This window comes from Homo sapiens, chromosome 2, assembly GCF_000001405.40.
Source record: "Homo sapiens chromosome 2, GRCh38.p14 Primary Assembly".
Taxonomy (NCBI): Eukaryota; Metazoa; Chordata; class Mammalia; order Primates; family Hominidae; genus Homo; species Homo sapiens.
Genome location: NC_000002.12, coordinates 118,189,870 through 118,211,475, shown reverse-complemented (window position 1 = coordinate 118,211,475; position 21,606 = coordinate 118,189,870). Strand labels below are relative to the sequence as shown.

General features: G+C 42.9%; 1 long non-coding RNA gene across 3 annotated transcripts in view; it reads left to right on the top strand.

Annotated features, from left to right (window-relative positions):
• The window catches only part of LOC105373578 (uncharacterized), a 38,616-nt gene that overhangs the window by 15,113 nt on the left and 1,897 nt on the right, over positions 1–21,606 (top strand). For 2 of the 3 annotated variants that reach the window (XR_923249.3, XR_923250.3), the window contains exons 2-4: positions 3,301–3,374; positions 13,639–13,751; positions 14,107–14,303. This is a non-coding gene — a long non-coding RNA (uncharacterized LOC105373578). Of the gene's footprint in view, positions 1–1,743; positions 2,118–3,300; positions 3,375–13,638; positions 13,752–14,106; positions 14,304–21,606 lie in introns of those variants that run through there. The other variant, XR_001739664.2, reaches the window with a different exon arrangement.

The following is a 21,606-nucleotide window of genomic DNA, read 5'->3' as shown; positions in this document are numbered from 1 at the left end:
TTATTGTATTTTTCAGTTCTAAAACTCTCATTTGGTTCTTCTTCATATCCTCTATTCCTTTGCTGAGATCTCCTGTTTCTTTTCTGAGGCTTGCTATTTTTAAATTGGCTTCCAGGGTGTTCATAATTGCTCATGGAAGCATTTTTATGAAGACTACTTTAAAATGCTTGTCAAATTATTCTTACATCTCTGCCATTTCTGTGTTCACCTCTATTGATGGTCTTTTCATTAGTTTGAGACCTACCTGGTTCTTGGTATGACAAGTGATCTTTGTTTGAAACCTGCATATTTTTATATCGTTAAGAACCTCTAGATCTTATTTAAGTCTTCTATTATAGTTAGCTTTGTCTGACATCACTCCAGCAGGAAGAGGAGAGATACTACTTCATTATTTTCCGTGATGGTAGAAGTCCAAGCTCCCCACTCAGCCACTCCCCATGGAAGGAATCTCATCCTTACTGCTGGGCAGGGTGAGTTTTTGCTCCCCACTAACATCGTGATGTTGGGGTGCAAGGAGAACTTGATATCAGGCAGAGCTGAGAGTCTTGGCTCCCTATTTGGCCTTCTCTAACACTGCTCCTGTGTGTGGGTGTTGAAGCACCTCATGACAGGCTTTGCTAGCATGTGTAGGACTGGTCCACAGTTTATCCTGTGGCGTTTGGCCAGAGTGTAATAATTATCGTGTAAATATATTCTACCTTGCTAGGCTTCCCCTTTACTGAAACTTTACTAGAAAGCCTTTATTTATTTGTTTGTTTGTTTGTTTATTTATTTATTTTTCGGTCTGTGCCTCTTGGAGTTTCCAGGTTCTCAGCTTCTTCAGCTCTAACATTGGGATATATAAGGTTAGAACAACAACAACAACAGAGTAACCAGGAAACTCATCAGTGAGTCATTGTTTAGGTCCTGAAGCCTCTATCCAGTCTGCCTTTTTCTATCCATTTTTCAGTCTTCTTATACGTGTTTTATATATAATATTCAAGGTTTCTAGTTGTACTCAGAGGAAGGAATAAGGAAAATTTTATCTACTCCATCTCCCCAGAAGTGGGAGAGTCTGCAGTTCTTTTAAATGACATAAAATATAATTATTGATGTGGAATTTTTCTCGTAATATGTTGCTAAGTCAAGTTGTAAAACACTGTAATTATATCTTTACAGTAGAATGTGTATACAAAAGTCTAGAAAAGTGTCCGGAGTTGGTATCAGTGACTAACTTCCAGATATGGGGATCATAACTGATTTTTATTTTCTTTTCATCAGAATTTTCTGATTTTTGACTTGAAAAGCACTTGCATAATTTTAAAAAGCATTTAAAAGTATAAATGAAATGAAGTATTTATATATATTAGAAATAACTATAATATTAGCTACTGTTTATTGAGCAGCAGCTATTTTGGGTCAGATGAAATACTGAGTAGTTTATATGCACTATTTCATTTAATCTTCACAGAGGTAAGATAGGCTTTATGCACCCCATTTTACAGGTGGAGAGACAAGTCTGGCAAAGTTAAGTCACTTGACTATGTTTACAGAGTTAGTAAGAGCTGGGATACTAACTGAGCTTGCTGACTTCCTGCTACCTCCTAACAATCACTGACATATTTGTGGTGCTTTATAGTTTACAAAGCATGTTTCACACATGCTCACATTTAGTTCTCCTGATAACCTAGAGGTGAAGTTGAAGGGGACGCCAAAACCTGACCTCCAGAATTTGGTTTCCATCTAGACCTTCAGTGAGATTCAGATTGTCACAAAATGAGAGTGGACTAGATGAAGTCTCTCCAACTCATTGTATCCAACTTGCCCTCAGGGATACTCTCTGGAATCTTACCATCCACAAGGCTACCTACAGGGACCTAAACATCCTGTGTCCACAGAGCCTCCCATGAAGAGCAAAGAGCCAGTTCAGCAGATGGATAGAGAAAACACTCCCCAAGGGTCACTGGACAGCAGTGCTACCACAAGGGAGACAGGGGGCCTGGGTCCCCTCCCTACCCCTGAGTAGAAACACTTCACTCATAATCCAGATTCAGCTGTGAGCCCCTTGTTCTTTATTTCCTCCTACCTCAAGCTCCAGAGGGAGAAATTCTGCAGCATCTCTAGGAGGGAGAGACGGAGTAAGTAGGCAACATCTTTGGAAGTAGCCATGTTGGTCTTCCAAGGCCTCCCACTTTCTTTTTATTACCCAACCCCTATTATACTCAGGAAGTGTCCTCTCCCTACCCTTGTAACCTCCAGGGCCCAGGAAGGACTTCTTTCCCATCTAGAATTTGTTCACTCACACACCATTTGTTCTTCATACACGTTCTGTTTGGCTCACATGATACTAGTTGGTTTTTAGTTGGCCAGTTAGTTTGATGTGAAGTAATTGACATATAAAAATCAAAAAAGTTCATAGAATTCAGTGACTGGATTATCTCAAAAAGCTGGAAGATCTGGCACTAGGGGTCATGTGGCTTCATGGTGCCAAGGTACTAGAGCTGAGTGGCACCCACTCCGTCACTGAGGCCCATTCTCTCCAGTTTGCTACAGTCCCCACTGCTCTCTCTTATGAATAGTCACAGTTCACTGATTACCTAACAAAAGATACACTTTTGTGTACCCTGCTATCAATTAATTCCTCCTCTTTTCTCTGCCTCCATAAAACACTGTTTTCCTCTCAGATTTATCAAAGGTCTTCAAAAGGAAGCAATCTGATCAAACTTATTGCCACCACAGACACTTGCTATCGAAGTCTGCTCCCAGACCAGCAGCCTGGCATAACCCGGGAGGTTGCTATGAATGCAGACTCTCAGGCCCCACCCCAGACTTCCTGTATCAGAATGTGCACGTTAGCAAGACCCCCATTCATGTGCATGTCAGCATTTGAGAAGTGCTGTCCCATGCAGCTCTTTGACCCTTATCCCACCCAGGGGTATATGTGTGCTCAAAGAGAAAATTTATGACACTAATCAGTGAGATTTTAATGTGAATAAGTGAAGCTGAAGACATGTCATAGATTTTAAGGGAGATCTATTCAGATTCACTGACTTTACAGTCTACAAGAGACTCTGGCAACATGCTCATGATTGGTAGCCCAGCTCCTACTTTGTGGCTAAAAACTTGGAAGCTTGGAGAGGGGAGCTGTCTTGTCCAAACTCAAAACCTAGTAGTAGAGCTAAGAGGAAAGAGAGGGGAGGCTGCCTTGCAATGTTGTCAGAGGAAGAGAAACGACACTACTCCTAGATTACTGATCTCAGATTATTTGGGATGGTTTCCAAGAAACTGATATTTACTGTTGGTCCTGCTTTGTCTACATAGGTGGCTCTCAACTTGAGTGTGCAGCACAATCACGTGCAGAGCTTGGTCAGCTGATTGCTGGACACTACGCACAAGTATGTGGATGCCTTGGGCCTCAGGCCAAGCTGCTTCTGCCCCTCCCGTATACACCTATGCCAATGCTTCAGCTGACTAGTGAGCCTCGGGAAGGATGGTCCACAAAAGAGGTCCATGCAGGTCCTGATTGAGGGCTGGGAGCCATTCAAGAAGGGAATCTCAGGGTCCCAGAACCCAGAGTGTGGCCAAGAAGGTGGAGGGCATGGCCTCCATATGGGCACTACCCTTTCACCCTCAAGACTCCTCACCCCATCAGCAGGGCACAGCCAGAAGCAGCCAGAGCTGGGTCTCTAAGCCTTGCTATTCAAAATGCAGCTGGGCCCCAGCAGTATCTGCATTGCTCTGGAGCTCGTTAGAAAGGCAAAATCTCAGACCCCACCCCAGGCCTCCTAAATCAGAATCAGCACTTTAACAAGACCCCTGGGACATCTGGGTGCACACAAAGTCTAAGCAGTGCTGGCCGGCGTACAGGACCAGGTGGGGCCCTCTTACCTGAATCCGGGGGCAGTACTAGTTATGGAGAAAAGAAAGAATGCTTTAACGTGTCATTGGGCCTGCACAGAATCTGCTAAACAGTAGCAAACAACTAATATTGGTTAAATTTGATCAAGTTAATTGCAGAATAATATGAGTTATCTCTAATTTTATTTGAATTTATTCTCCCAAATGATCATTTCATAATGTAACATTGCTAGAACAAAATACTGTTTTTGAGGGTATGGGGGAGAGAGAGAGAATGGTCACGCTGCTTATTGTGCTAGCCTGTTAGTTGCACGGTACTGACTGGTTAGCCAAAGAGTAGCCCTAGACAGGAAAGGTCTCAAGCTGGTGTACTGTGGACCTAATGCAGCCCAGATGGTTTCCTTGGTATTAAAATTGGTATTTTCTAGCCTCTCTTATAAAATAGAATGACCTGTAAATATTGAATCCATACCCACAAATGCCCACAATTGCTGGAGCTGAGTCCTGCCCCTTTCAGCATGGATGAGCGCACTCCATGTCCTAGACTCCAGCCCTCTCAGTTCTTTCACCATCTTCCTTACTGATGTCTACTGGCTATGCTGCTGGCTTTTGTGGGCATTTATTTAGAATTCTTTGCTATAGAAAGCACCAAAATTTGGCTACTGTAACAGATAAAGCAAAACCCCTCAGAATAGGAAAATTTCCGCTGAAGTATGCATTCAAGTATTTGAATGCATACTTTAAGGACATGGTTGGTCCTGCTATCTGTGAGGCTTGTAGAGCAAACATTTTATTTCAGTCCTCCTCAGGGTGACTGACTCATTGATGGGGTGCCCAGCCACAGTTTTAAACCTGGAGTTTTGGTGAGGATGTCCCCTTTCCCATCCAGGCATTTTCCATGAGGTACATCCAGCCTTCATCTTCTTTGCCAATTAATGGGCCTAAGAATAAAAATCACAAAGGAAAACAAGGACAATTTCCCACACCCACATTAATATTCTAAAATATTAGAACGGATTCTTCCTGCTTGCATCCGTCGTCTTTGGGTATTGGAAAACCAGCATCTCTAAATTCTATTCTACATGGTGATTAACATTATGGGATGCATTATTTTGAAAAGGTCTGCAAGAACACATACATGCACACACACATGTGCGTGCATAGATTAATATACATGTCTATATATGTGTGTAGATGTATGTATGTGTATATGTACATATATTGATATGTATCTGTGTGTATAAAGAGTCCTATCAATCGATCTATCCATAGAAATTGATTAAACCATATCAGTTCCCTAAGTACACGTTAGGATATTTGGGAATGTTCAGAGACACCATTAGGAAGGACATGCCCCCTCACAAAATATCCAGGGACACATTGGCTGGCTATACCATGGGATGCTGACTGACAGCACCTCTTCCTTGGTGCTTTTTCCTAAGTTAGTTCTTACATTTTTTTCTGATACTGGCTCAGTGTAGAAGAAAAAGGTTAAACCTCCTAATCCCTTCCTAGGCAGAACTGAAAGGATTTGGGCCTCTGATCATCAGCACTGCAAACTTCTTTGGATTTATTGAACTGCATGATTACAACTAGGAAAAAAAAATGTATGGAGTACTTGGGAGATGAGTAGTTTGAATGGAAAGTAAGACATGAATAATTAATGGGATTAAGAGAGAGAGTACCTACATTTATTTTAAGGTGCCCCTGACAGCTCAGAGGGGTTTTAAAAATCCTTAAGACTTTAAGGATGCCTCATCTCTGTGGAAAGTCACACCAGCTTTTCATGTATTAGTTCAACTCCAAAAGTCCTGAAATAACTGGGAATGTGTCTGAGTTCTAGGGTGAAAAATACAAGTGTAGAGCCTTTGTCTGACATTTTCGGTATCACTGTTGACGATACATTGCAGAAAAGTATATCAGGGCCACAGGCCACCTCTGAGAAGAGGCTATTGTGGAAACCGCAGAGACCTGGAATGCAATCATGGCGTTGCTCCTAACTGGAGAGTGGCCATGGGCAAGTCCCTTCCCCTCTCCAGTCTCCACTTTCTTGCATCTACAGTAAGAAGATTGGCCCAGGAGACTCTCAGCTCCGTCCCTGCCCTTGACTCTGCCTAGCCATGATACAGTAGACTGAAAAATAATCCCCAAGGTTTCCTGGTGCTAATCCCAGATCTATGAATGTGACCTTATATGGCAAAAAGGACTTTGAAGATATGATTGAGGATTTTGAGAAGCAGTGATTATACTAGATAATCTGAATGGGCCCTAATTATGACCACAAGGATCCTATAAGGGGAAGATACAGAGATATCTGACACAAAAGAGCAGAGACAGTGATGGCAGAGCAAGACTGGAGTGATGTAGCCACCGGTGAAGCAACATGGGCAGCCACCACAAGGTAGAAGAGAGAAGGAATAGACTCTGCCCTGGGATCTCAAGAAGAATCTAGCCCTGCTGACACCTTGATTTTAGCTCTGTAAGACTCAGATCAGACATCTGGTCTTCAGAACTGTAGGAAAATACATTTCTGTTGTTAGCCATTATATTTGTGGTGATTTGTTACAGCTGCAAGAGGAACATGTCATACAGAGACACTGGCCTTCCAGAGGTTTCGTGGCTGTCTCCTATGTCTCCCACCTGGCCTGTTTCATGGAATGATGTTACCTGCCTGTTGATCCCTGAAGGCATTTGAGTTGGCAGTCCCTGCAACTCCTCGCTCAGCAGAACTCTGGTGCTACGGTCACCCACTTATTTATTTACTCATTCATTTATTCAGCCAGTGTTCATTGAGTACCCGAAGGCCTCGCACTCTGCAAGTACTGAGGATGTAAGAATGGATAAGACATATCCCCTCACTTCCACGGCCTTGGGTGACAAGACTGGGATAGTAGAAAGAGTGCCTCAGATGTGGAGAGACAGAGAGAAGGGATAGTGCCATCGTTAGCCACCACGAGGGGGTTCCCAGGAGGCAGCAGGAAGGTCCTAGGTGCCAGACAGGGCTCAAAATGGGAGGTGGAAATATGTCTGGGCATTGGCGACATTGCTGCTCATGGCCATGGAAAGGAAAACATCTGAGTACAGGCCTGACCACCTCCTCACTGACCCCAGACACTATCCATTCCCTCCCATGCCTATCCAAAGACAGAACCCTCAGGTGCACTCACTGGCCAGCACTTTCTCAGACTCCTACCTCTTGGTGGTTTCAATTAGTGTCTTTCACACTGAGAGCTGCGACTCTCATGCGTTGGGAAATCAATTTAATAGGTCACAACCAGCATTTTAAAAGCAGGATGGAATCCTGACAAAGGTCTAATATCCAGAGCCTACAAGGAACATAAGCAAATTTACAAGAAAAAAATAAACAACCCCATTAAAAAGTGGGCAAAGGACATGAACAGACACTTCTCAAAAGAAGACATTTATGCGGCCAACAAACATGAAAAAAAGCTCAACATCACTGAACATTAGATAAATGCAAATCAAAAAGATAACGAGATACTATTTCATGCCAGTCAGAATGACGATTATTAAAAAGTCAAGAAACAAAAGATGCTGGTGAGGCTGTGAAGAGACAGGAGCGCTTTTACATTGTTGATGGGAATGTAAATTAGTTCAACCATTGTGGAAGACGGTGTAGTGATCCCTCAAAGACATAGAACCAGAAATACCATTTTACCCAGCAATCCCATTACTGGGCAATTACCCAGAGAACCATAAATCCTTCTATTATAAAGATACATTCACATATATGTTCACTGCGGCACTATTCACAATAGCGAAGACATGGAATCAACCCAAATGCCCATCAATGATAGGCTGGATAAAGAAAATGTGGTACATATTCACCATGGAATACTATTTAGCCATAAAAAGAAACAAGATCATGTCCTTTGCAGAGACATGGATAGAGCTGGAAGCCATTATCTTCAGCAAACTAACGCAGGAACAGAAGACCAAACACCACATGTTCTCATTCATAAGTGGGAGCTGAACAATGAGAACACATGGACACAGGGAGGGGAACAACACACACTGGGGCCCGTTGGGAGGTGGGGTGGTGTGCAGGGGGAGAGAAAGCATCAGGAAAAACAGCTAATGCATTCTGGGCTTAATACTTCGGTGATGGGCTGATAGGTGCAGCAAACCACCATGGCACATGTTTACCTATGTAACAAACCTGCACATCCTGCACATGTACCTAGGGACTTAAAATAAAATTTAAAAAGAAATTAATAAAAGCAGAATGGAATTGAATAGAAAGTATTAGTGTATTGCACATTGTTAGTGAAGACACTGCTTTGAAAAAGTTTAGTTTCAGAAAAAGACATGTGTGTGTGCGTGTGTGTGTGTGTTGGTGGATGAGCAGTGCCCCTCACTGCTGTGATGCAGGAACTCAGAGCCTCCACTCTACCTCATCAAGCCCAGAAGTGTTGCCGACGGCGGGACACTTGAGCTGACTCTGGAGATATGAGTTGAAATTTGCAAAGAGGAAGACAAGAACAGAACGTATTAAGATTATGGAGTTGTGAAGGGGGCTGATGTGTCCAGAGAATGGGGAGAAGGTTTACAAGGTGGGTCTCAGGGGTGTAGACAAGACTGTTCTGTATAATTGCGCAGGTCCACCCTGAACAAGGATGCTCTGCTGAAGGCACCAGGGGAATCTAAAATTCAGCACGGGGCTGACGAAGCCTTGTGCCATGGTTTTTCCAATTCACACAAAGATGCCATCTGCTGGCCAACCTGTGTGCCTGCAGGGCCAGGTCAGCCCAGTTGAAGCATATTTTTCTACTTTAACTGAGGGTCCCTATGGGCTAGAGCAGGCTTGTGTAGGCAGAACTAGCTGGGAAGGCAGATGGGATCCAGAAAGCAAAGGAAATTTCTCTGGGCAGAAAAGTGAATGTTTCACCATCAATTCTTTTTTTTTTTTTTTTTTGAGATGGAGTTTCACTCTTATTGCCCAGGCTGGAGTGCAATGATGCCGTCTTAACTCACTGCAACCTCCACCTCCCAGGTTCAAGCCCTTCTCCTGCCTCAGTCTCCCAAGTAGCTGGGATTGCAGGTGCCCGCCACCAAGCCCGGCTACTTTTTAAATTTTTTTTAGTAGAGACGGGCTTTCACTGTGTTGGTCAGGCTGGTCTCGAACTCCTGACCTCAGGTGATCCACCCACCTCAGCCTCCCAAAGTGCTGGGATTACCGGTAAGAGCCACCATGCCCGGCCATCAATTCTTCTTGGTCTGGACTTCTCCCCATTTCCAAGTTGGGCTCCCTACTGAGATTCTGAGGTATTGCTCCCTTCTTAGAGCACTCCTAACCATTCTTGTCTTCTAGCTATGGTCTGCTCCTTTGTCTCCTCAAGACAGCCTCTCCAGAATCCCCCACAAGGACGAATTACTGCCCTCATTCAATCCTTCTCTTGGTCCAGGCAAGTCCATGTTCATGCATGTGTCCTGCATGCAGGGGGCATGTGCATCCTTGCATTTCAGTCACTCAGGTTTCTCGTGTGTGCTCAGCCCATCATTCACATGGAAACACCTACGGAGGGCCACAAAATCTGTCGCTTTGCAATTTCATATAGCTGCCAGTGACTAACAGACCACTAATGGTCCATTAGTGAACCATTTGTGGTCCACTAATGAAGGAGATCAATGTATAGATGAGAAGTTGTAGGATGGGTGCCAACGAGCTGGGCGTGAAGGAGCTCTATCCAGGGAGGATTTTCAGCCATGCAGGGGTATATATTACCCCCACTCGCATGCCAACCTCCCCGACATCAGACATCAGAAATATCCATAAGGAAAAGCCTTCCAGGCCCTAATCAGAGACCAGACTGGGAAGGTGAAACCTTGTGGCTTCTTTTCTTATTGATAGATAAAAAATGGATAATGTCTTCTTTCTCAAGAGCATATTTAGATACAGGCCAGGGAGCATGAAGATGTGAAGTATCTGAGAAAGGACAAAGGAACCACTTATGGAAACAAGACTTAAAAAAAGAAAAAGAAAGAGCACACGGAGGTTGGAAAAGCCCCTCCCAGCCACTGTCACTCCACCATGCAGTTTCATGCTCCTCTACCATGAAGATTTTTTCTCCTTCCAGACATCAGCTACTCCTGATAGTCAACTTCCTCACTATCCATAAGCAACTTTAGACTTCACCTGGGGGATGGGGAGGTTCTGGGAGACGACAGGATGGAAATTAGCAGGGTCCAGGGTTGAGAAAGGAGCAGAGGCTGGTGTGATGAAGGCCGGCTTGCCAGATCAGGAGCAGAGGTTGGGTATAAGGGAGAGAGCAAAGCCCTCCAGGGCAGATAGAGCCTGACTCCCTACCACGTGTTGCCGCCCCTTCTGAGGGAATGCCTAGAAAGACAGATGGATGCACACAAACACACACCCAATAGCAAACACTAGTCAGCATTGCACAAAATCTGGTGGAAGCCTGGCACCACTGTGGACACAGGAGCTGCAAAAATGAATGGAAACAAGACAGCAAAAGCAAAGATAGACAAATGGGATCACATCCTGCAAAAATGTTTCTGCACAGCAAAGGAAACAACGAAGTGAAGAACCAACCCACATAATGAGAGAAAAGATTTGTAAACTATCCATTCAATAAGGAACTAATAACCAGAATAGATAAGTAACTCAATTCAATAGCAAAATAATAATAATTTGATTAAAAATGAGCAAAAACCTGAATAGGCATTTCTCAAAAGGAGAAACACAAATGGCCAACAGGTAGATGAAAAAATGCCCAACATTGCCAATCATCAGGGAAATACATATCAAAACGACAATGAGATATCATCTGGAGAGGATGCAGAGAAACGGGAACCCTCATACACTGTTGGTGGAAATGTAAAGCAGAACAGCCATTTTGGAAAACAGTATGGAGGTTCCTCAAAAAATTAAAAATAGAACAAACTACCATATGATCCAGCAATCCCACTACTGGGTATATATCCAAAAGAAAGGAAAGCAGTATATAGAGAGGTACCTGCACTCCCCTGTCCATCGCAGCACTATTCACAATAGCCAAGATACGGAATCACCCTAAGTGTCTATCCGTGGATGAATGGATAAAGAAAATGTAATACATACACACAATGGAATATTATTCATCCACAAAAAAGAATGACATCCTTGTGTGTATGTGTGTGTGTGCATATATATGTATATATATGTGTGTGTATATATATGTGTGTATATATGTGTATATATATGTGTGTATATATGTGTATATATATGTGTGTATATATATATGTGTGTGTATATATATGTGTGTATATATATATATATAACATTTTCTTTATCCATTCATCCATTGATGGACAGTCAGGCTGATTCCATATCTTGGCTATTTTCAGCAACATGAATGAAATTGGAATGCATTATATTAAGTGAAATAAGCCAGACACAGAAAGATGAGTATTGCATGTTCTCACTCATAGATGAGAGCTTAAAAAGTGGATATTATGAAAGTAGAGAGTAGAATAATAGATATGAGAGGTTGGGAAGAAAAAGGGGGAATGCAGGGGTGAAGAGAGGTTGGCTAATGGATACAAAAATACAGTTAGAATGTATAAATTGTAGCATTCAATACTACAGTAAGGAAATTATAGTTAACAATAATTTACTGTATATTTCAAAATAACTAGAAGAATTGTAATGTTCCCAACACAAGGAAAAGATACATGTTTGAGGGGATGGGTATCCCAATTACTCTGATTTGATTATTACATGCTGTATACATGTATCAAAATATCACATGTGCCCCAACAATATGTACAACTAGGATATATCAATAGAAAAATTAAAAAAAAAAAAAAAGGAATGAGAACAGACCTATACTTGAGAATAGATTAAATAAGCATGGTCCTGGCCCTAAGGCCATCACCACGGAGGCTGCTGGCATTCACAGCCAATCACAGTTCAAAGCAGATCATGCAATAACACTATAAATAATGTAATGTGGGAATACAGAGAAGAGCTAGATTAATTTGTGCCAGATTATGTAGAAGCCTGAATGTCACAGCCAGACTTGTGGTCTGAGCAAAGACATAATGCAATCAATCTATACTGAAGAAACACCCAATTTTTTTTTTTTTTTTTTTTTTTTACAGTCTCACTCTATCACCCAGGCTGGAGTGCAGTGGCACGATCTTGGCTCACTGCAACCTCCACCTCCTGGGTTCAAACGATTCTCTTGCCTCAGCCTCCCAAGTACCTGGGATTACAGTCATGCACCACCACCCCCAGATAATTTTTTTTTTTTTTTGTATTTTTAGTAGAGGTGGGGTTTCACCATGTTGGACAGGATGGTTTTGAACTCCTGGCCTCAAGTGATCCACCAATCTCGACCTCCCAATGTGTTGGGATTACAGGGGTGAGCCACTGCACCCAGCCCCAGAAAGATATATCATTTAGGCAAGATTGGAGGGTGGAGATCAGAGCCGGAGGACCAGTTAGAAAGACATCACATTTAAAAAATGATAGTTCCTAACCTTTACTAAGCACTTGCTGTACGCCAGGCCCTCTTCTAAGTGCTTTACATATATATATATATATGTAGCACATTTGCATCCACAGGGTTTGCAGCATTATGGGCTGAACTGTGTCCTCTAAACTTCATATGTTGAAATCCTAAACCCCAGTACCTCAGAATGTGAACTAATTTGGAAATAGGGTCTCTGCAGATGTAATTAGTTAAGATAAGGTCATCCTCGAGTAGAGAAGGCTCTTTATCCAATGTGACTGACATCTTTATAAAAAGGCAAACTTTGGACACAGATTCACACAGGGAGAACATCGTGTGAAGATGAAGACAGAGATTAGGGTAAGACATCTAAAGGCAAGGAATACCAAAGATTACCAGCAAACCACCAGAAGCTAGGAGGGAGGCGTGGAAAAGATCCTCCCTCATGGCCCTTAGAAGGAATAAACCCTGCACTGCCAACCCTTTCATCTTGGACTTGTAGCCTCCAGAATGGTGGCACAGTAAATTCCTGTTGTTGAAGCCACTTGGTTTGCAGTACTTTGTTACAAAAGCCCTAACAAATCAATACAGTCTGTCTGTTATTGTCACACACTAGAGAGAAGGAAACTGAGACACAAAAGGTTAAGTAACCCCAAATTACTAAGCCAGTAACTGGTGGGACTTGGTTGGTGCAGAGTGCCTCGCTCAACAGCCCACAGGTGCAACCTCTGCATAAATCCAGCCATCACAGGAAGTCACAGGGCCTGAGCCAGGCCAGCAATGGTGAAAGGTGAAAAGGGAAAAATAATGTAAGAGACATTTCCAAGAAAAAAGTCCAAGACCTGGTTTCTGGTCAGATATGGCAGGTGAGAAGGAAGCAGGAACATCTGTCCTTGGAAAATGGCTCCTCGGGTATTAATGGTGATTACATCTAGATATTATTATAGTTTAAAAAGTATTGGGGTAATCATGTGTTTTCTATCCATTTTCCCAATTACAGAACACTCCATGAGGTCAGAGGCAGTGTTTGTATCCTCACAATATATGTGGATATTTCCACATATATGTTTTGCATATTGCCTGGCTTTAGAGTCCACTGGGTAAATATTGGTGAAAATGAGTTGCTGCCACCTGTCTTTATGCCACAGAACACAAAAGAAAAGGGTGTAGGAGTGTCATTTAAATATGTTTTTATTCTTGAAAGAACTGTAGGCTGGGATCAGCAACCACTGTAGTGTGCTATGTCAGAGCTCTACTCCTCTCATAGAATTACTCCTGGTAAGCAAAGGTGACCATGTAAATTACCAAACAATTTCTGATTTTGTAGGGAGCATGCCTGGATACACAGCTTAGGGACAAGAAACCTACGCTCACCAAGTGTCCACCAGCTCCTCGGCAAGGAGGGAGTAAAACGAATTTTTTCTGCCACAACTTCTCTAGGTAAATTTAGAAAATAGTGCCAGAGTGTCACGTGCAGGTGGCAACTAGACTGAAATGAAAGCCCACAGCCCCACACCAGTTATCATGTAGCCAACCACAGTGCTAAGGGCTTCATAAGTTGGGACAAAGATTTGTTGACCCCCAAAGTCTATTCTTTCCCATCTTCCATAAATAAACTTTTAGCAGGTCACGTGAGCACCAAGAATAAAGACTACATTTCCCAGGGTCCTGTGCAGCTGAGTGTGACCACGTGACTTGGTTCTGTCCAGTGGGATGTAAGCAGAAGGGCTATGAAAGCACTGGTACCTTTCTTAAAGAATGGTTGGTCCACACCCTTTGTCCCTTTCTTTTTCAGGCATTTGTCTGGTCTTCTGCTGGAAAATGTGGATGTGGTTGTGATCATACTAGACCCTGGGAATAAGGACAAACCTGATGAATGGTGAAGTGAGCAGAAAGAAAGTGGATCCCAGAGGACTTTTCAGAGAGGAGCTTCCAGGCCAGCCCTAGGCTATACATCTGTGGACTTTGAAGCAAGAGATAACTACTATCTGTGTAAGCACTGCTATGTGGTGTCTCTGTTACTCATAGCAAACCTAATCCTAACCATCACACTACTGGCTTTCTCATTTTCCCAACAATGAAATGAGCAGGACTTAATATCCCAGTTTATGAAGTAACAAAGGTTAGGAGAATAACTCATCCAACATCACACCACCCTGAAGATATGAACTCAGGTCTGCCTGGCTCCAAAGCCTGTGTCCTTTCCTCTATATTAATTCTGCCTCTGCACTTGGGAATCCTTAAGCACTGTGAGCACTGTGAATTTATAGTTATGTTGCTTTTCACAATTTGCTGACATGGTTCATGCACTTGGTCAATAAGACCTCTGTTTGGTTCCCTACCAAGGCCTACAGGTGTCTTTGCTCTAAAACAGAGTCAAGGCTAGACAGTAACAGCATCCTGGAACATCACAGCCATATACTTGTGGTCACAAAGAGAAACCAGGCCCAGAGAGTGTGAATGAGTCTGTAAAAGCCATCCCCACTTCCAGCAAAGTAAACCCAGGTCTTCCTCCTACTATTGCTGGCTTACAGAGAGTACTGCTTCTGTGCCTGAATATGCCCAGACCAGGAAGACCATTCATCATGTTCATCATATGTTGTAACTGCTACATTACATAGAATGCTCTCTTCTCAAGCCGCAGACCGACTCAATGGTCTCCTATCAGGTTTGGGGAGGAGCAGAGGCTTTGGCCTATCACCTGTTACTCCAGAAGGCAGAAGCTGGATCAGGACATGTGGCAGCATTGAGTGCAATGCAACGGGGTTCTATGTACAAATTATGTAAAACTTGGGATTTATTTTTTTTAAACACAACATATACAACCCATTGGTCAAATCAGGAGGGATCAAGGAAAGAAACACCTCTAAAGGCCTGCATAGAGAGTATCTTATATGCGGCTACCCTTTGGAGAGTCTAGGCCTCTTATAATCCCAGAGATTCTTAAGAGAAAAGAAAGGTTGTTTGTTTATGAGGTGGGATTTTTTTGTTTGTTTTTGGTTGGCTAGCTGATGGATTTTTTTTTTCTCTAGTGCTAGTCTAGTCATTGATTGCGCTAACTAGTGAACATTACCATTTATGGTTGTGAGGCCCAAATGCAAACATTCTCCAAGTCCAGGATTTGTTTCTGGGAAAATATGCACAAACCAGAAGCAACCAGTCTTCTCTACCTGCACCTACCTGCACGCTTGCCATACATTGCTAATCAATCATCCATCGCATGCTTTGCCACAGGGTCCTGGTGGAGCAGCAGATCCCTTCATACAGCACTAAGGCTGCCACTGCCAATCAAATGAAATTGATTTCTTATACTGAAATACATTTTCTGGCCAGGAGCGATGTCTTCTGCCTGTAATTCTAGAACTTTGAGAGGCCAAGGCGGGTGGATCACTTGAGCCCAAGAGTTCAAAACCAGCCTGGGCAACATGGCAAAACTTTGTCTCTCCAAAAAATACAAAACTTAGCCAGGCATGGTGGTGTTTGCTTGCAGTCCCAGCTACTTGGGAGGCTGGGGTGGGAGATCACCTGAACCCAGGAGCTCAAGGCTGCAGTGGGCTGTGATCGTGCCACTGCACTCCAGCCTGGACAACAGAGTGAGACTCTGTCAACCAAAACAAACAAACAAAAAACGAAGGAGGGGAGGAAGGAAGGAAGGAAGGAAGGAAGGAAGGAAGGAAGGAAGGAAGGACAGACATTTTCTACTCTGCTTTTTGAGGACAGAGACTAAGTCTCATTCAGGTCTATGTTTCCAACACTTAACATGAGACTTTGCATACAGTAGAGCCTTGGAACACATTTGAAGAGGGAAAAAAGAAAGAGAGGGAGGGGACAAGAAGAGCCATTAAAAGAATTAGGTTAAAGGGGTCCCCAGTTGTTTGTGGAGAGGTTGGATTCGATCTCTCACCAGACTCAGAACCTAAGGCTCCTCTCCATCTACCTTGCTGCAGTTGGCCTGAGAATATCACCACCCCCAAGAACTAGTGAGCTCCTGCAAGGACTTTTTTTTTTTTTTAACAGACTTTATTTTTTTAGAATAGTTGTAGGGTCACAGAAAAATTGACACTCCCTGCCTTCCCACATTCATAGCCTCCCCATAGTCAATATGTCCCCACCGAGTGGTCCATTAGTTACAATTGATGAACTTACACTGACACATCCCGGCCCCCGAGAGTTCATAGTTTATGGTTCAGTCTTGGTGTTGTACATTCTATGGGTTTGGACAAATGTGATGTTATGCATCCACAATTACGTTACCATACAGACCCCTTTCCCTGCCCTCAAACTCCTCTGTGTCCACCTATTAATCCCTCCCTACCCCCAGCCCCTGACAATCATGGATCTTTTTACTGCCTTCACAGTTTTGCCTTTTCCACAGTGTCATATATTTGTAATCACAATATATAGCTTCTTTTCAGATTGACTTCTTTCACTTAGTAATATGCATTTGAATTTTCTCCATGTCTTCTCATGGCTTTATAGCTCATTTCTTTTTAGTGCTGAATAATAGTCCATTGTCTACATATACTACAGTTAATTTATCCTTTCACCTAATTAAGGACACCTTGGTAGCTTCCAAGTTTTGGCAATTGGAATTAAGTTGCTATAAACATCCACATGCAGGTTTTCATGGGCGTGTAAGTTTTCAGTTCTTATGGGTAAATACCAAGGAGTGTGATTTCTGAATTATATGATAAGCGTATGTTTAGTTTGTGAGAAACCACCAAACTTTTCCAAAGTGGCCGTACCATTTTGTATTCCCACCAGCAACGAAGAATAATTTCTGTTGCTCCTTCTCCTTGCCAGCATTTGGTGTTGACAGTGTTCTGGATTTGGATCACTCTAATAGGAGTATAACGGTGTCTCATCGTTGTTTTAATTTGCATTTCTCTGATGATATACGATGTGGAGCATCTTTTCATATGCTTATTTGCCATCTGTGTATCTTCTTTGGTGAGAAGTCTGTTAAGGTTTTTGGCCCATTTTTTAATCTGGTTGTTTGTGTTCTTACTGTTGAGTTTTAAGTTTTTATCTATATTTTGGATAACAGTCCTTTATCAGATATTTTTTCCCAAATATTTTCTCCCAGTCTGTGGCTTCTCTTTTTATTCTATTGCCAGTGTCTTGCAGAGCATAACTTTTTAATTTTAATAAGGTCCAGCTTATCAATTACTTCCTTCGTGGAGCATGCCTTTGGTGTTGCATCTCAAAACTCATAATCAGGGCCAGGCACAGTGGCTTACGCCTGTAATCCCAGCACTTTGGGAGGCTGAGGCGGGAGGATCACCTGAGGTCAGGAGTTCAAGAGGAGTCTGGCCAACATAGTGAAACCCCGTCTCTACTAAAAATACAAAAATTAGCCGGGCATGGTGGCACATGCCTGTAATCCCAGCTTCTAGGGAGGCTGAGGCAGGAGAATTGCTTGAACCTAGAGACGGAGGTTAACAGTTAGCCGAGACTGCACCACTGCACTCCCGCCTAGGCAACACAGCAAGACTCCATCTAAAAAAATAATAATAATAAAATAAAATAAGTCATCATCAAATCCAAGGTCATCTAGATTCTCTCCTATGTCACATTCTGAAAATACTGTAGCTTTGCGTTTTACGTTTAAGTCTGTGATCCATTTTGAGTTAATGTTTGTGAAGGGTGTAAGGTCTGTTGTCATTTTTCGCATGTGGATATGCATGGTTTTCTATGCAGACACACTGTTGCTGAGGTGGAAACAGCACTAGCTCAGGAGCCAGCAGACTGGGTGCTTGCCCCAGCATAACCTCTAACCTGTTGTGTGACCTTGAGCAAGAAGGAGGCCCTCTGGCCTGCTCCCCATGTGCAGAATGAAAGCCCTGGGCCAAAAGGCTGCTGTAGATCCTTCCGTCCTCCAATCTGCAGGGTTCCCCTGCTATTGCTCTCCTTCTAGTATGACTGTAGGACACATTTGCCCCTCATTCATGTTCCCACCTCAACAGCAGCTCTCCTGAGAAGCCTTTCCTGGGTATCCCAGCCCATGGGCAGTACCTTCCTCAGAGCACCTCCAAACTGATGCCCCCTACCCGCCCCACATTTAGCTTCTGTTGCATGGTGATACCAATGGGTGTGTCCTCTCTCCAACTAACTAGGAGATTTTTTGAGAGCTGAGAATGCTTTGTATTTCTTCTATATGTCTCACAAGAATAAAAACAAAGTTAATAATATAATAATAGCAACAATAATAATGATATGATGATGATTGCTACCTTTCCTGAACATTTCAAATACATATGTTCATCTAATTCTGATACTACCCTGAGAAGTATTATCATCCTCATTTTGCTAACGTGGAAGCTGAAGCATAAAGAGGTTGTGGGACTTGCCCAAGGTATCCCAGGAGGAAGAGTTTGGAATCTGGGTGCCTTGGCTCAGAAACTATGTGTGTGAGCACTAACTGCTACCAAAGCTTGAGTAGGTGCTGAGCTCCTATCCCTGCTGCACACATCATGTCTATGTGTGTGGCTGTTCAAACATCTTAAGTCTGTGGCACATTTTATATTCGTTCTAGCCCATCTCTATGTTCCCAATGCCTGGTATAATACTCCACATATGAATGTCTGGATGAATGGAGCTATTCTAAAAGAAAGGTCACCACCTACCACCACCACTGCCGCTCCCCCAACCCCATGGCCTTGCCAGACATTCCACTCGTCCAATATCCTTTATCCATCCATAGCCCCACCCCATCCCCCACCCCCAAGCACATTACATACCCTTAAAGCTAGTAGAACAAGCTAAGGAAGATCCCACTCACTTCAAATGGTGTTTACCTAGTACTCTATCTGAGCAAAGCCCTGCATAAATAATTCACCTGTCACATTCTCTTTTAGTACATTTTAGGACTTCCTAATAAACTCTGGACAGCTAACTAATTTACAGATCTGATGGCACAACATGCCCATTTACACAGTAGCTTCTAGAGAGAACTTGCCAAGAAATTCTTCCATTACTCCCTGCTAGGTCCTTCCACTTTCAGTGGAACCAGAGGCTCAGACAGGACTCTAACTCTTCCCCTTCTGTCTGTCTCCAAAGCCACTGCCCATCCTGGTTTAGTCCAACCTTTCAAGAGCCTTACAGTGCAGTTTGGATATATATTACCTGGGGACCTTGTTAAAATGCAGATTCTGATTCAGTTGGTCCAGGGTGGGGAGAAAGGGTCTGAATTTCTAACAAGCTCCCAGGTAATGCAGATGTTCCCGGTCCCTGGACCACATTTTGAAAAGCAATTCCCTATCTCCTGCTTCAGCAGAACCCCGCACTCCCAAGCCCACCCTCCATCCTCCCAGTAATCTAACGCACAAGATCGATCACATCGCTTCCCCTCTTGCACCTCCTGGGATCCTGTCCACACTTCTTGGACTGACTCTAGCCACTTGTCTGGGACCTCAGCCTTTTTCTGCTTTGCCTCCTTCACCCGCCCCCCACCCATAATACCATTTACTATCCCTCAACATACCCAGTGTGTTTCTTCCTCCTCTGTAAAACTGCAGGGTTATCTCTGTTGCTCCAGAAAGCCTTCCCTGACCTCCCTTTTCTTCCAAGTGTGATAAGAAGCCCTCCCCTCTGCCTCCACAACACTTCTATAAACCTGTCCCATAGCACAGGTGTATTGACCCAGGTTGGTCTCCCCACTAGACTGAGACTTTTGTGAGGACAGGGACCATGTCTTCATATCCTCTGTGACTCAACAAATATTTATTTCATAAACAGATGAGAACCTCATTAAAGTATTCCTTCACACAATGAGGGAAGACAGTTAATAAAATTTCTAAAGGAGCAACAGCTACTTTGTTCTTAAGAGTGCAAATCTTTGTTACATGTAGAATCTAACTTTTTAAGCCTAATTAGATATTTGCCTATATTAATGTATTTTACTATGTCATTTGCTTTGCAAAGTGCAGATAAAAATTCCAAATGTTGGCTGGCATTAAACAACTTCTAAGGGTGAAATTAGCAAATTAAATGAATTTGGTCTACAACTGGCACGGGAGATAATGGTCCTTGATTTGGCTGCAGCACGACTTTTGCTCAGTTGTTGGAGGCATTGTTTCATAAATGGTCTCTTAGGAGGATTATAATGGAAATGGCTAGTGATATTTAACAAGGTAGGTAGGTAGATGATAAATAGCTAGATAGATTATAGATAGATAGATAGATAGATAGATAGATAGATAGATAGACCTTTCGCACATTAGGGATAAATATATCAACCACAAATAATAATAACTATCGTTGACTGAGCAGCGGCTCTGTACCAGACCCTGGGCTAATTATTTGCATCTCTGATCCTGTGGTCTCCTCTAAACAATCCTGGGAGATGATTTTCATTATCCCCATTGTACCAGTGGAAATATTGAGTCTCAGAGGTTGAGCAACTCATCAATGAGTAAACATTTAGTGAGAGAGGCTAGGCTGAGATCAGATTTCACTGCTTGTAACCACCAAGCAAAACTGCCTTTTGTCAAAGGTTTACAGTGGTCCTATGTAATTAAGAGACAAGGGCATCTAGTGGCCATATGGCATCAAATACAAATAAAGAGCCTTCATTCCCTGTGATCTGCAGCCACTTCAAAAAGACACTTCAAAGACAGAGGCAATACCCAGGATGTCCAGCCCAGTGGGGGAAATTCAAAGCCAATTTAAATCCTTGATGGAATCCCACTTGAAGTGGGGAGTCTAAGACAAATGCATGTAAATGAAAATCTAGTCATTAAGCATAGAACTAGTAATTTCCTGGAACTAAGTCAAGCAAGTGTCACATAGGAGCACCCTAGAGAGAGGATCAATGTGACTAGAATAACTGGAAAGGAAAGTTAAACAACATCTAGGGAAAGCCCAATATGGTCCAAGTAATGCCCCATGCTCTTCACCTGTGTGATATCATTCATTCCTCAAAGTGTCCCTGTGACGCACTCACAGTCAGGGCCATTTTACAGATGGAAAAACCGAGGCTGGGAGAGATTCAGAATTGCCTCATAAGTGGCAGGACAGTCTTTCAAACCTGGGTCCATCCTGTGTTTTCTGTGGAGTATGCTCACCTCCCCCATTCCTCAATCCCTACAAGCCTGCCATTCCTAATGGATTTTTTAAAGTTCTCTAAGTAGTCACTTGCCAGCAAACTGATAGAGCCCAGCTTGAGGCTGTGGTAAACACCAGCCCTTGGTGGGGGGTGAAAGACTGAAATTTCAGGAAATCGTGGAAATACTAGTAATTTGAGAGCATTGAGACACATTGAAAGAGCAGGAAACAAAACAAAACAAAAATACTC